Source organism: Homo sapiens, chromosome 8, assembly GCF_000001405.40.
Source record: "Homo sapiens chromosome 8, GRCh38.p14 Primary Assembly".
In the NCBI taxonomy this organism is placed as follows: Eukaryota; Metazoa; Chordata; class Mammalia; order Primates; family Hominidae; genus Homo; species Homo sapiens.
Genome location: NC_000008.11, coordinates 139911073 through 139926916, shown reverse-complemented (window position 1 = coordinate 139926916; position 15844 = coordinate 139911073). Strand labels below are relative to the sequence as shown.

The window sequence follows — 15844 nt, the reverse complement described above, 5'->3', positions numbered from 1 at the left end:
CTAATCAATGTGTTGTGATTTTTTTTTCCCAGTCTTGATTTGCTTTTGAATATCAAAAGTTTTACATTTGATGCAGTTTAGTTTCTCAATATTTTCTTTTGTGACTTGTCTATCTTCAAGTTAACTTACCCTCTCCCCAGTTACCTCCATTCTACTGTTCTCCATTCAGGAGGTGTTTTTGTTTGTTTGTTTTTTTCTGAGGCAGAGTCTCACCCTGTCACCCAGGCTGGAGTGCAGTGGCGCAATCTCAGCTCACTGCAACCTCCGCCTCCCAGGTTCAAGCTATTCAGGAGTTTTTTTTTTTTTTTTATTTTAATTCATTGTATTTTTAAGTTGTAAAATGTCCACTTGCCTCTCTTTTATATTTTCTATTTCTTTGTTGTAAATTCCTATTTTTAAAACTTCATTTTGAATGTGTTTTCTTTTGTCACGGGAGTCTGGTTATAGCGGCTGCTTTAAAGACTGTCTTGTGGCTCCAGCATTTGGGTGATCTTGGGGTACCCATTCGTTCTTCTGAATCGATCTCGTTCCTGTTGTCAGTTTCCCATTGTGTCTTGGGCATTGTGGGTGTTATTTTTTGCAGACTGTGGGTTCTCTTGGGAGCCTCTGGAGAATAGTGATGATTTGTCTTGTCAGGTCCTCAGTCCAGTTAGGTTCAGACCTTAAGTTCTGCCTGGCCCTATTGGGATGGGAGGTCACATCTCAGCTCCTCAAGCTCACCTCCCCAGGCCTCTGCTGCATTGTTCTGGGTCTCTCCAGTGTGACTTGGTTAATTTTTAACAACCAGCCTTGGATCATAGCATTTGCTGATTTTTGTAGTGCAAATACTTGCCTTCTGGGCAATTTCAGGCTATCCACGTGACGTCACTGGATGAAGAGTGGAGAAGAGATGCTAACAGTTGGCTCCTGGGAGCGGGAACCAGCTAGCTGCAGCACACCATTGGGTCTGTCCCACCCGTGTGCCTCTTGGGGAGTCAGGCTGAGACACGTGTGTGGCTCAAATCTCATTTCACGGCTTTCCCATGCTGCTGAGGTCTATCCTGTACATAACTCAGAGGTAAATCTGAAACGTGTGTGTGTGTGTGTGTGCGTGTGCGTGTGCGTGTGCGTGTGCTGGGTAGTCAAACCCCAGTTCTGTTTTCTGAGGCTTTCTTTTTTTTTTTTTTTTTAAGATGGAGTCTCATTCTGTTGCCCAGGCTCAAGTGCAGTGACGTGATCTCAGCTCACTGCAACCTCTGCCTCCCAGGTTCAAGCAATCCTCCTGCCTCAGCCTCCTGAGTAGCTGGGATTACAGGCGTGCACTACCACACCCAGCTAGTTTTTGTATTGTTAGTAGAGATGGGGTTTCACTATGTTACCCAGGCTGGTCTCGAACTCCTGGCCTCAAGCAATCTGCCCGCCTCGGCCTCCCAAAGTGCTGGGATTACAGGCGTGAGCCACCGTGCCCGGCCTTTACAGCTTTGTACTGTTCGGTTGGGTCTGTTTTGCTCAGGGATCAATCCGAGATTTCTGCAGGTTTCTATGCAGAATGAAAGGGTCCACTTCTCTAGCTCTCTCGCCTCTAAGATTCCCCCACCTCCATATGCAACTCTGCAGCCTACAAAGACTCCACCCCTTTTCCTGGGCAGAAAGGCGATATTTCTGTTAGAGTTTCGGCCTCCAGTGCTGTTGCCTGATGCTCTGTAACAGGGCATTTTTTTCCACACTGTGGAGGAAAGGTCGAGGGAAAAGTGGGAGGCGCCGCCACCCCGTGGGCGAGCTCATTCCATGTGTCGACTCCTCCACATTCTGCTGCTTTTGTTTTACTCCCGGATTCCTCAGGGAGCTGTTTTTGTGTGCTTTTCGGGAGCTTTCCCCTGTAGGCAGTGGGAGGCGTGAGTTGTAGTGGGGTGGCCCCTCGTGCTGGAGAACACGAAGCTGGTGGCCGCTGCAGGCCGTCTGCTCTGGCTCTACCCTCTGGGGCCACACTGAACACCGCTGACCCCCCTGCTCATGAAAGTCATTCAGGTGATCTAAGGCCGTTTCCAGTAACTCATTCAGCAAACATGTAATGAGCCCTTGAGTTCTAGGCCTGTAAAAGATGAGTAAGATGTAATTCCCTCACTCTGTAGAATTCACGGTCCAGGAGCGAAGGAGGTGGACGAAATAGGTATCCAAAGAAACCAGTGCCATCAAGCGTGGCTGATGATGGGTTAAAGTGTGAGCACAGACTGATGGGTATAGCGAGGGCTTGGTTCCTGGGGGTGGGATGGGGAGAAGTCCAGGTGGCTTACAAAGCAGACTGTATTGGAGCTTATCCCTGAAGAACCAGTCGATTCCTAGGCTAAGAGTTGAAGGCAGGGCTTCCTGGTGGCTGGAATAGGATTGTGCCAGGGCCCGGCAGCATGATGGTGCGTTGACGGTTCCCAGGCAGGATGCAGTCCCGTGGTACACGTATGCAGGCAAGAACCAGAGGTCCATGGGCCCAGGGAGTTGGGGGGCTTTGAATGCCTTTCCTAAGGAGGTTCTGGCATTTTCTGTGACCTCTGCTGTCCCTTCAGCTCCATGTGGCCGGGTCAGGTGCAGGGCTCCTGTCGTCCATGGGAAGCAGTGTTGCCAGGTACCACTGCTGGCCATCAGGTGCATGCTCTGTGCCCAGCGCTTGGCCTGCGGCTTTTCAAACCTCACCGTTACACTCTCAGGTTGGCATTATTGTCCTTCACCTTCACAGCAAGAAAACACTTCAAGAGGCTTGACTGATTTATCCAGGATGACACTGATACTGAGGCAGAGCTTGGATGAAAGTCTGGGTTTCTGTGACTCCACACCCTGGAGTTCTTCTCTGTCACCCTGCACTGAGCTCTGGGGCCTGGGACAAGAAGGCCTGTGGGGTCCTGGCCATGCCCCCTCCCCGTGCTCGGCATGGACCTTGTTGATTGTTTGCAAGGCACATTTGAGTATGTCCTTTTCCTGTTTGTTTTCCCCCCTTTAATCTAGGGAAAATGAGATTTCACTTAGAATTGATGAAATATGTAATTAGATATAATAGCATTTTTAAACTAATAGCTACTGATTCAATATGATTGAGGCATTTTGTTAACAAAATGGGGGCATTTCACTGCCTTAAAACCAGTCAGCTCTCTACTGAGTCGTTCTCTCCAGGAGGCTTTTGGGTGCCTCTTAGTTCCACCAGCCTGTTCTTCAATACCTGCTATGTCTGAGGCATTGAGTCAGGTGCTAGAAAGGTGAACACACAGACCTTCTGTCTCCGCTCTTCTGAGGACTCTGCACATGTGCAGTGCTGGCCTCCTCAGACGTGCTTCGTCAGGGAAGCCACTAGAAGCACAGGGAGAGAAGGAGGCCAGCAGATGGAGAATTTTTCCAGGTGGAGGTGGGGCTGAGATGAGGTTAGCCAGGTGGAGGTGGGGCTGAAACTTGGGAATGACAGGAGCAGAGTGTTGAGTGAAACGTGAGTTCGGGGTGGGGACACCAATGCGAGCAATGCCGGCCGCAGAGGCCCGTGCAGCTCCCATGTGTTCAGATGGGGCGCCGGAAGAAACCCACGGCATGGCATTTTACATGTCACCTGAGCCCCCATGGCATGTTGTCACAGGGTCACACTGAGGCAGGCATCCTGTAGAAAGAAGGGAAATTTGCATCTTAACATGGAAAGATTTCTGTCGAAAAAGATTGCTGCAACGTAGTCTTCTTGTATAGGTTCAGCTCCACTTAGCGGGGAGATGATTATACAGGGATGTTTATTTCCATGGAGGCTGATGACCTAGGCACGGTGTCCCTCAGTAGATTTTCATTCACCTCCGGAACGGATGGCATCCCAGGACCCTAATACTGTGTTTTAGCTGGCTTACCAGTCCGGCCCATCTGCAGCTCTTCTACAAAAGCTGTTGTAGGGCTTGACTCTGCTGGTTCTGTGGTTTCTGATGAGCCTGATGAGGGAGGCTGCCACAGTGTTTCTGAAATCCAGGTGCCAAAAACACTCCTGCCAATTTCTCTTGCTTGCTTGCTTTAATGACATACCAGGAGCAAAAGTGGCCAGAGAGGTTCCTCATTCTTTCCCTCTCTACCTTCAGCTCTCTGGGCCTGAGCTTCGTGTCCCAGCTCTGTCTAGTGTCCACGGGATGGATTTGGACCCGTCCTTTACCTCTCGCCTGCCTCTGTGTGAGGAAGGCAGGAAGATGCACTTTTCCTTGGGAACCTCAGATCTGGGTCCTGGGCTTTGGCCTCTGGGCCGCGTCTCACCTGGAACTGGGGGAGGAAGCCCTGCCTCACCTGCCCTCCTATGGAGGCTGCCCCAGCTCTCACTGCCAGCCATGCCTGTCTGGAGGCCCAGGGAATGACATGTCCTGTGTGTCCACGTAGACTTGACTCCTGGCAGTCACTTCATTGCCTGAGCTTCAGTTTCCTCATCTGCTTTGTGAAGACAAAACCCATTTCAGGCCAGGAGCGGTGGCTCACGCCTGTAATCCCAGCACATTGGGAGGCCAAGGCAGGCGGATCATGAGGTCAGGAGTTTGAGACCAGCCTGGCCAATATGGTGAAACCGCATCTCTACTAAAAATACAAAAAGTAGCCGGGTGTGGTGGCACGTGCCTGTAGTCCCAGCTACTCAGGAGGCTGAAACAGGAGAACCGCTTGAACCTGCGAGGCAGGGGGCAGGGGTTTCAGTGAGCCGAGAGTGTGCCACTGTACTAGCCTAGTCAACAGAGCAAGACTCCATCCAAAAAAAAAAAAACACCAAACCATTTCAAAGATCAACCTTGGAAGGAAATGAAAATAAATGAGTTAACATATGTGATTGTTGCGAACAGTAAATATTCTCACTCTCTATAGTTAACGTTCTTTACTTTCTTCTGTTGTTTCTTCTCTGTGCTACCTTGCTTGATTTCCTATGTTCTGAACACTAGCCTTTGACATTTATTTCCATGTGGGCTTCTCTGACAGCAGGGAGGGGCAGGTGTGCACACCCCTGGATGAGGCTGGTGTTGGGGGCGGGGGTTGAGCTGTGTACGCTCCCAGATGTGGCAGTGGGGGGCAGGTGTGCACTCCCAGACGCGGCGGGGAGGAGGGGGCAGATGTGTGCGCTCTCGGATGCGGCAGCAGGGGGGCAGGTGTGCACCTGAATGCAGCCCATAGCCCTTTCTTATCTGGCCCCTGCTTACCTCTCAGCTGTGTCCCTCCCCCGGCCCCTCTGTCCACTCAGATGATCATCCAGGGTCCCTGGCTGGCCTGCATGCACTAGTCCACCTGGCTCTTTGCAAGTAATGCTCCCTCTATCTGGGATGGTCCTTCTCTACCCACAGCCCTCTACCTGCCAGCTCCCCTTACTGTGTGTCTTAACTTGGTCAACACTTCTCTCCAGCTCTTCCTGAAGCTTCTCAGGCAGGATCAGTGCCTGATACTGCATACTCCTCTAACATGCTAAAAGTTCTGTATCGTAGCACTTACCACAGCTTACACAAATGAAGCCCGGCTCTCTGTTGTCCATCTCTCTCATGGGCTTCTGAAGCTCCTGGAAAGATAAGGGCTTGTTTCTGATTCATTTTATGTCCCCATGCACTGAGTTTAGGGCCTGCAAGATGACAGCTGTTCTCTGAACACTGCTGAACCAAACCCAGTGTGATTTGTCCCAAGCTTCTGCCCTCAGATCTGGCCCTGGGCGGCATCCCTGTTTCTGCCGTGATGTGATGACTGCCTGCCCTCACACATTAGCGGGAGGAGTCGCGTGGTATGGTGAGACTGCAGGGCCTCAGGAGACTACAGCCGAGTGGTTCCATCAGCCTGTGTTTCACAGGAGTGGCCAGTGTCCTCTAGCTGTGCTGCAAGATCCAAATTACATGAGTGTGATGGGGGCTGCCAAGGTCCCGCTTGCTTGGCAGGGTGGCCTCCCAGTTGTGGCACCCACACCTTCAGAGACCTGTTACGGCAGGTGTGGGATGCAGCCACATCTGTGGCAGAGGTGATGGAAGCAGAAGCAGACTCTGTGACCACCACACTGCCATTCCTTGACCTCTCTCCTCGAGTTCAGCCAGGCATTCCAGAAGAACCTAAGAGGAACTGAGAGGAGCTGAGATTTTGTCAATGCACCAGCTTTTCATTTAAGGAAGTGTGGAACTGTAACTTAGCTGCCTCTGCAGGTGCTGCTGGTCCTGAACCTAGTTCCTTCACCTAGGCAGTTGCTGTGGTAGCAGATTTTTTCCAGCTTACTGTGAGCTGAACATGACGCTTTGGAAAAGCAAGGAAACACTCTGGTTCTCTGTCATCTAAGGCAGAGAAACTTCAAAACAGTTGATTTTCCATTACAATTCAGAAAGCAGGAGGGAGTGAGCCCTGTTGGAGCCCCAGCTGTGTGCCCTGCCCTGGGCCCACGTAGGTCACTCACTGGCTCCTGGCTGCCACTGTGTAGGCAGCGGCTCCTTTCTTTACAGACCAGGAGGGAGGCTCAGGGACAGGGTGACTTGCCCAAGGGCACGGCAGATTAGAAGTAGACCCAGGCAGAAACCAGGTCTTTCAGACTTTAAATGAATAGCAGAAAAGTGGTAAAGAATCTTTGTTTGTTTGTTTTGTTTTGCTTGAGACAGACTTTCACTCTATCACTCAGGCTGGAGTGCAGTGGCACGATCTCGGCTCACTGCAACCTCCACCTCCTGAGTCCAGGTTATTCTCCTGCCTCAGCCTCCAGAGTAGCTGGGATTACAGGTGCGCGCCACCACGCCTGGCTAATTTTTGTATTTTTAATAGAGATGGGGTTTTACCGTGTTGGCCAGGCTGGTCTCGAACTCCTGACCTCAAGTGATCCGCCCGGCTTAGCCTCCCAAAGTGCTGGGATTACAGGCGTGAGCCACCGCGCCCCAGTGGTAAAGAATCTGATAGATATTTTAATCTTAATACAAACATCTTCAGAATTTTCAGTGAGGAACATTGGAGAAAACCCAAAAACCCACCGTTACAGACAGAACAAATCTGGAAGAGTGTTGAAATGGTTCCAGCACTAGGCGGAAGGGTCCGGGCAGTGCCATGCCGCGCCTGGAGTCTGAGCGGGTCATGAAGGGTAAAACCAGGGAGCATGGAGACCGTGCTGCCTTGGGCCCTCAAGCCACTGCCTTCCTGTGCATGGGGTCCTCCGCACCTGCTCTGGGCCACACACTGGTAGCATGGGGGGCACCAAGTTGAAGAAAACAGCTCTGACACAACCAAGGTAAGGATGGAGTGGAGACGCAGACACCCTGATATTAGCTTGAGTGAAGTGTTACCTATGAACACAGGTCAATGGGTGAAAATAATGCCCAGAACATCTCATATTTATCTTGCATTTTATACCTTCACAAAATGTCTTCCTAAAAGCTACCTCGTTTGATCTTTATCATGATAACTTCCTTTAATAGCCATATTTTTTAATAACAGCTTTATTGAGATTTGATTTGCACACAATGCAATTTACCCATTTGAAGTGTACGGCTCAGTGATTTTTGTTTATTCACAGAGTTGTGCAACCATCACCGTCGTCCACTTTAAAACTTTTGAATTGCTCCCAAAAGCATTATAATAGCTATAATTGTTTTGAGCACCAATTATGTGCCAAGTGGTTCAAATCAATTCTCCCAAATCCCGACTAGCCCTGCAATATAGGAGATCCACGTTGTGGATCAAAAACCAAGGCCTGGGGACACTCAAGTGACTTGCCTCCGGTCACAAAGCAAACAGGTGAGAAGAGGGTTGCGCTCCAGTCCGTGTTGCTGCAAGCCCATGCCCTTCCTCGGCACAGCACCCCTTCCCGAATGCAGCCCTGCAGCCGGGACACTAGCCCGGGCGCCAAAGCCTCGGGGAGTCGAGAGCAGTGGTGGGCGCCTGAGCTCTGCCTACTGACTCCAAGACCTGGCCCTGCATGCTGTGTGTCAGAGGCCGTGGGGAATGAAGCTCCGGGCACCGGCTCCTCCCTGCTTTTGCTGGACCTGTGGCTGTTTGGACCCAGCGGGCCAAGCAGTCCCGTTAAGATGGAAAAACTGCTTCCTCAGGAGGCCTCTGCAGAAAGAAATCAATTTAAAATGACCCGTGGTGCAGGAGGAGCCCAGGTCTTGCACTGCCTTCTGCCGTTTGGAGAGGGAGGGCAGCTGGCAGCCAGTGGCATTAGGTGAATTCCATTTTATTAAGCACTATTTTCTGCGCTGAAGAAAACAATACTTAAAGGTCCTAAAATAAACATTGATCCGGAGAAGTGCAAGCGAAGGGGCTGTGCTTCCCACAGCAGTGCTGGCTGGGATGGAGGGAGAAGCTCCCGATGTCGGGCACTTCCACGCTGAGAACAGCACTGCTCGGGGAAGGCGGTGTCTGGCTGAGTCCTAAAGGGCAAGGGGAGCCGGCTCCGTGGTGGGAGGGCCGGGGAGGGCCCCTCGCTCTGGCCGGTTTGCTCACGCTCTGGTGACTGGCGGGTAATTTCCACTCATATGAACTCAGTGCACCTCTCTGTGACCTGAGGGTAGTGATATAGGATCTCCGTAAGCATAAAATGAGAAGCTGTGTATTTGGGGCTTTCCCAGTGCAGGGTCGGGGGCTCTTCGCAGGTTCCCTCCCTGGGAGACCAGCCAGGCTGACAGATCGAGGAAGCAGAGTGCTCAGAGCACACCATCCCTCTTCGGAGAAGCCACCTCTGCAGCAAGAGGCCACCGTTTCCTGATGCTCACTCTACTTCCAACCCTTGGCCTTCTCTGAACTCACAGAATCCAAACTGAAGAAATAATGGGCCTCACGCAACCTCCAATTTACAGTGAGGAGCTCAAGATTCAGAAAACAAGATGCCTGCGAATCACAGACTTCCATGATTGAAGGAGTGCGAGGCTCTGTCTCATGCTTGCACCTCCCCAAGTTTCTCCCATTGAGTGTTTTCTCTAGCCCTACATGGAGCAAAGAACAGGACCACAGACTGCCTGGCCCCAGGCCACAGCTTGTTTATTTGCAGAACGGACCTCTGGCAGAGCTCTCAGTCCCCTAACTGCATGGGCCACAGCTGGCTGTGGGAGTGCTGGGCTGCTTGTTAACAACGAGCAGTATTATCTCCAAGCACCTGTCAGCATGTGTGCCCGAGTTCAGGCGATGGGGACGACTCTGTGGACCCTTTCAGTCAACGCTTACCACAGGTTCCTGGCTCCTGCCAGCCTGGCTTTGACTTCTCCGTCTCCCATTTGCCATCTCTGTGGCCTTGGGCAAGCGACCTTATTTTCTGCAACAGGAGAATCTGCTCCCTCCCAGGGCTGCTGCGAAGATGGAGGCGGTGGCGACCGAGCCTGTTGCTTGGCAGCGGGGTGGGCCCACAGCAGGCCCGGGGGACGGGGGCGCCATTGCTTTGGTGTTGGTGCATTCTCCGATGGTGCTTTGATTGGATCACCTAGAGCTTTGACTTTCAAAATACAGCTTATCTTTCCCCTTTAATTGAAAATAATAATGGCCGGGTGCGGTGGCTCAAGCCTGTAATCCCAGCACTTTGGGAGGCCGAGGCAGGCAGATCACAAGGTCAGGAGATCGAGACCATCCGGGCTAACACAGTGAAACCCCGTCTCTACTAAAAATAGAAAAAATTAGCCTGGCATGGTGGCAGGCGCGTGTAGTCCCAGCTACTTGGGAGGCTGAGGCAGGAGAATGGAGAATGGCATGAACCTGGGAGGCGGAGCTTGCAGTAAGCCGAGATCGCGCCACTGCACTCCGTCCTGGGCAACAGAGCGAGACTCCGTCTCAACAAAAAAAAAAAAAAAAAAAAAGAAAATAATAATGAAGAAGGATTTCTCTTTTTTACCATAATTGATCTAGGAGGCTGAAGGATAAAATGATCCTCTCTCAGGGCGTGATCCATACGTCCGTGTTCACGCCGTTTCCTTGTCTGCTCAAAGTCCCTTCTCATTCAGGATGGACGAGTCAGGAAGATGACTGCTTCCCTCTCACTTGGCATCGTACTTCTTTGCAAAACAGCATAGGCTGGTGTTCTGCACAGGCAATCGATTCACATATGATGTACCACATACATTTGGAAAGCTAGTCTTATAACTAACAACTATCTCTCAATGAAAGTTCAGTTGAATTATATGTGGCTAGCCTCCTGAGATCCGACTCCTTGATTTGTATTTAAATGTCATTGTGACTTCCCTGGTGAGGCTATCCGCTGTTCAAAGACTGAATCATATGATCTGGTATTTTAAAAACCACCATTTTTTTATAGACTCTTCAAAAATCACAGCACCTTTTTTTAGTGCCAACTCTTGACTATTATTGTCACATTTGGCCATAAAATTAAACATGAAAATTGGCATTCAATAATAGTATTAATTTTATTTAACTCTGCCGTCAGAGATGAACAGAAGCAAGTAGTGGTGGAGACCGTCTACCCGGGAGGCCGCGGAGTGCCGCGTTCCGAGGAGTGGATGGAGGGCCGGCCCCGCATCTGGTATTTGAAATGAAGCCCCTCCTTGGCCTTGCTTTTCACTTTGCAACCTTAGGTCATCTCCTTAGCGCCTCAGCTCCTTGGTCTCTCCATCTGTAATGCGGGTTTCAGAATCATGACAGCAGCCACTATTTATAGAGCGCTATTTATGTACCGGATGCTTCGCTGACCGTTTGTATCCACCATCTATCTTATCTAATCTACACAAAATCTTACAAAGTGGGGTGTATCAGCCTCAATCAGATTTAAAAAACTAAACCCCAGTGTGTTTTGCACATTGTGAGGAACTTTAAAATTGTGAGCGAAGGTGACTATTCCAGGAGGACAGTGTCTTGAGGGGTTTATGTAGTGGGACAAGCCTCCCAGAAGAGCCATAGTTTGATTGTGTGTTTTATAGGCCTGTACAAAAGTAATTGCACTGACCTAAATATAAGCTCCCCTGAAGTCCTGCCTTGGAAGATTTGTGTGGGCCTGGTCCTTTCCTCCATCTAGGATTTAAGTCTATTCCCTTTAGCGAATCTCTAGAGAGCATTTCAAAGTGCCAAGTGCATTCACACGCACAAGCCCCTTCCTCACAGGGTGACCAGTGACCCAACAAGTATGCTTCTTATTTTCCAAAAGGAAGTTTGGGTGTAGAGAAGCTAAGGCTTGTGTGGAAGAGACGCAGGTGACTCAGACAGCCCTTCCCTCACAGAGCTCCCAGCCCAGGACCAAAGATTGCTCTCTGGGTTAGCAGACAGCTGTGGCAAGGACTGGCCTCTTGTCCCCTCTGCCCATTCAGGGAAGATGTCTCTGCCCTGATGTTCCCCGCAGAAGCCCTCCTGTTCTGCAGAGAATCCTGGACTGTGGGCCCAGACCCAGATTCTTGTCTTGGTCAGACACGAACAGCGGGTAATACGCCTTGTCCTCAGCATGAAGTCCTTACTTTATTAAAAATTGAAACAAGGCTGGCGTGGTGGCTCATGCCTGTAACCCCAGTATTTTGGGAGGCCGAGGTGGGAAGATCACTTGAAGTCAGGAGTTCGAGACCAGCCTGGGCAACATGGTGAAACCCCATCTCTACTAAAAATACAAAAATTAGCCAGATGTGGTAGTATGCACCTGTAATCCCAGCTACTCGGGAGGCTGAGGCACGAGAATCGCTTGAACCCAGGAAGCGGAGGTTGCAGTGAGCAGAGATTGCACCACTGTACTCCAGCCTGGCCAACAGAGCAAGACTGTGTCTCAAAAAAAAATCAAAATAATAACATTAGAACCCACTCTAGCAAAAAGGCATCACTCAAAGAGCTGTTACCTTGCTGGGCAGACCCCTGGGCAGGGCCCGGCACCGCCACCGCCACCCTCCAGGAGCCCGCCCAAAAGGCCATTCCCGCCAACACCCGCTGCAGACGAGGCAGGTGCCTTCGCCGTCAGTTCTGCGCGGGTTTCCTCACTGGCCTTTTCCACGCAGTTTCCAAAGATAATGATTTCCCACCCCTTTGCAGTGACTTGCCAGAGCATCAGCCACGGTTCCGAGTCACTTTTTGGAAACCTTCTGATGGGGAATTGCATGAATATTCTCTGATATGTGTCACTGACCCCAACATAAGACCTCACCTGTGTGTTTAAGCTTAAACCCAGGACGAGGAGGGATGTGCCGTCCTGTGCAAACCACACCTGCAGGTGGGCAGGCTTCCGAGGCTGCGGGGGCCAAGTGGTGAGGGCGGTGGCATGAATGTGGCATCAAGGCGTCGTTGCTTTGTTGTTGTTATGAAAAGTAGCTTGCTCATTGAGAAAGCCGTTATGGAGCCATCAAGGCACTCAGCTGATCGTGGCCTGTGGCCTGGTGACAATAGACCCTGTGTGGGTGCTAAGAACATGCAAACCCTCCCAGCTGTTAGGTGCGGGTGGCACTGACTGCATTCCACAGAGATGCTCAGGGAAGTGTCAGGCCTCGCCCCAAAGTCACCTCCAAGCCGAGCTGGGCATCCAGCCCAGGTGGTGGGCTCTGAAGCCTGCCGCCATCTCCCGCTGCGCTGCTGCCCCGGTGCCTACCACGATGGACAGGCCACTGCCAGCTACACCTCAGCGCCTTCCGCCCTTCCTCTCTGGAAGATGACTGCAATAGGTGATCTCAGCTTCGTGCCCCTCGGTGGCCCTGGGTTTCTTCCTTACCTTCCAGCACCTGGGTGTCCCTGCCTGCGGGTCGTCTCCCTGTGAGCCTCTCAGCCAAGCGCCACCACCCCGCATGCCCTCTGGCACTCCCTGTGGGGCAGACACCCCGTCCACATCTCTCCAGCCACCCACCGTCATCGGGAGCTCTGCTCTCCACAGGAGTGACAAGCCTCAAACCTGATGGCCTCGGCCCTCATTCAAAGTTCTGGCAGTGCTGCCATTGAATTTAGAGCAAGGTCACCTACCAGGGCAGCCGGCCAGGGGCTCTCGCCTTCCATCACGCAGGCCTTGCAGCTGCTGCACACAATGCAGCAGTGTCTTCCGGCAGGGGTGAACCCAGGTGTGAGGACCCCTCCATGGGAAAGCCTCTCGCAGTTTTCCGGGTTAACAGTCACAGGGCTGCCGTCACTTCCTGGTGGGGAGGAGCCAGGAGGAGGGGGCTCAGGTTTAGGGGCTGTGCCTGGGACCAGGTGGATAGAAGTATTAGAGGTGGATAGAGGTATTAGGTAGAGCCCCTCTGTGGTTTGGGGAATTCATCCTTGGCTCTTGGAATTCTGGCAATAGGACTTGAAGCTGGGTGACCTTAGGTGAGTCACTCGATTTCTTGGTACCCCAGTTTTGTCACTGCAGGAAAAGGAACGCGGCCTTTGGGATTTTTGCCAGCGTCGGCCATCCCAGGGCTGCAGAGGAGAAGGCAATTGTAAATGTGGGAAGCAGTTGGCCGTTAACACAAGCAGCAGGCCTGTTGGAGGCAGGGTCTGCAGTTTCAGGGTCTCTGTCCCATGCTGCTCTGCAAACAGCATGAGCAAGAAATGGTCTCTCTTTAGGTGTCCTGCCTAAGCAAAGCAGAGCCAAGTAAAGCTCAAGACAAAACACAGAGGATGGAGTCTGTGACACAGGCTCTGAGCGAGGCTTGCTAGCTCCATGATGTTGGGCCAGATGGCTTGGGCACCCAGAGGTGCAGCCTGTCATCTGTAACATGAAGCAGAGCTTGGCCTTCCCTGGGCTGGCTGTAAGTTAACAAAGATGAGCGTACACACAGAACACCCAGCGCCGGGCTTGGCACACAGCAAGTGCTCCTTACATTTTGTTTTCTTCCCTTTTCTGTTTTATGGGCAGAGTTAGCTACAGTTTTGTTAAGGTTGGAGGAGGATAATAGAGTGTGATGATTACTCAACCAGAAATTGTTTGAAAGATACCCCCAGATTAGATATCACACCGTTGTAGTTCCAGTGGCCGCAGCATCCAGCGTGTGCTCTGACCCAGGGAGCTGCCTGCTGGCTGTTTCTCTTTTCTGTGTTCAACAGGAAGAGAACCTGGTACTGTTGTCAAACTCAACTGAGAGGTGAAAGTTATTAGTTCCTTTTGGATTATCAAGCAGTGAACTTAAGCTGGCCTTTTTCATGAAACTTAGGAAATATTCTGACCTTTTGTTTGAAGAGAGCACTAGTTTGCTTCAGTCTGCCTTTGAGGCGGGGAAGTAAGAGGAGCTTTTTGCTGGGTGGAAAATTAGAAGCTCTTGCTGCACGGGTAGGTTACTCACAAGAGAAGAAAGAGACATGGTTAGTAAGCTTCTGAAAAAATGTTCAACCTCAGGGGTAATTCAGACCTCAGGGGTAATTCAGACCTGCACATTAAAACATCAGTGAAGTGGCATTTTGCCTATTACTAGCAAAGATTCAAAACTGATCATCGCCAGTATTGGCAGTGGTGTAGAGAGGGAGACAGGCCTGTCCATGCTGCTCGGAGATGGGCTTCTGGAAGACTCGGCCTCTGAGCCTGAAACACCTCACACCCTCCAATGAGTGGCTCCATGTCTGGGAACAGTTCCTGAGAGTCAGTCGTAAGTGCAGGCAGAAACACTCAGCACAAAGATGTTTGTCAGGTCTTTTTCTACAATAGTCATTTTTTTTAAACTTGGAAAAGAGCTGAGAGTCCAAAAAATAGGAGAACCATTCTGTAGGCTATGATACAACCCTAAGATAGAATATTTCGCAGACTAATTTTTAGCGATGGGAAAATATTCATAGCATATTAAGAGAATAAAACAAGACTTCAAACTATGTATGTGGGTGTATTTCTTTGTGTATATGATACATCATGATTTATACATATATATGTAGTGATTTTAAACTATGTTAAATACAAATACTTAGGGAAAAGACTGTAAAGATGTTAACATTAGAGTATAATATTTGAATGCTTTTATTTTCTTTTTTATGCTTTTTTCTATCTTCCAACTGTTTAACAATAAGCTATCTACTTAGAGAACCAGAAAATAATAGTAAAAGTGATTTTTTTAAAAACCATGTTTTGCCACAAAAGCACTGTCCTCTGCTTGCGGGGAGCGTCTCTAGCTCTTGTGTGGCTCAGCCCCGCATGTCATGCCTCAGGCTGAATACTAGAGATTTATTGGCACTGCAGTAGTTCTTTCCCAAGCTGTCGTGGAGACTGAGACTTCTTTGGGTCTTATCTTGTCTTTATATCCCCTTAACAGCAGGTCCCCTTATTTCTTGCTCGTTCAAGGGAATAGCCACAGAGGCCAATTAGAGCATGGTTTTGCTGAATGTTTTGGCCACAGCACAATCTATGCAATAATAAAAAAAAAAGGCCTACTTTTTTTTTTTCTTTTAAGACAGAGTCTCACTCTGCCATTTAGGCTGGAGTGCAGTGGCACAATCTCGGCTCACTGCAACTTCCGCCTCCTTGGTTCAGGCAATTCTCCTGACTCAGCCTCCTGAGTAGCTGGGACTACAGGTGTGTATCACCATACCTGGCTTATTTTTGTATTTTTGGTAGAGATAGGGTTTCACCATGTTGGCCAGGCTGGTCTCAAACTCCTGACCTCTAGTGATTCTGCCGGCCTCGGCCTCCCAAAGTGCTGGGATTACAGGTGTCGCACCCGGCCCAAAACGCCTACTCTTATCCATTGACTGATAAACCCTCTGTTGTTGTATTAGTTTGTTTTTATGCTGCTGATGAAGACATACCCGAGACTGGGCAATTTACAAAAGAAAGAGGTTTAATTGGACTTACAGTTCCACGTTGCTGGAGAAGCCTCACAATCATGATGAAGGCAAGGAGGAGCAAGTCACGTCTTACATGGATGACAGCAGGAAACTCCCCCTTATGAAACCATCAGATCTTGTGTGACTTATTCACTACCCTGAGAACAGTATGGGGGAAGCCACCCCCATGATTCAATTATCTCCCACCGCGTCCCTCCCACAACACACGGGAATTGCGGGAGTACAACTCAAGATG

General features: G+C 50.3%; 1 protein-coding gene and 1 long non-coding RNA gene across 16 annotated transcripts in view, besides 1 other annotated feature; one reads left to right on the top strand and one right to left on the bottom strand.

The window, feature by feature from the left end:
- The window catches only part of TRAPPC9 (trafficking protein particle complex subunit 9), a 730855-nt gene that overhangs the window by 531663 nt on the left and 183348 nt on the right, over positions 1-15844 (top strand). The gene's annotated exons all lie outside the window — the stretch shown is intronic.
- Positions 10289-15675, bottom strand: LOC105375781 (uncharacterized). Its single transcript, NR_188082.1, has 3 exons — positions 15617-15675; positions 12826-12992; positions 10289-10519 (listed from the first exon to the last, which is right to left on the bottom strand). It is a non-coding gene; the product is annotated as an uncharacterized LOC105375781 (long non-coding RNA).
- Positions 11973-12512: an enhancer, noted in NCBI's record as "H3K4me1 hESC enhancer chr8:140926649-140927188 (GRCh37/hg19 assembly coordinates)". NCBI's record gives its function as "activates a minimal SCP1, AML or CMV promoter by ChIP-STARR-seq in primed H9 embryonic stem cells {active_cell/tissue: H9 hESC(primed)}" and the evidence as "EXISTENCE:reporter gene assay evidence [ECO:0000049][PMID:30033119]".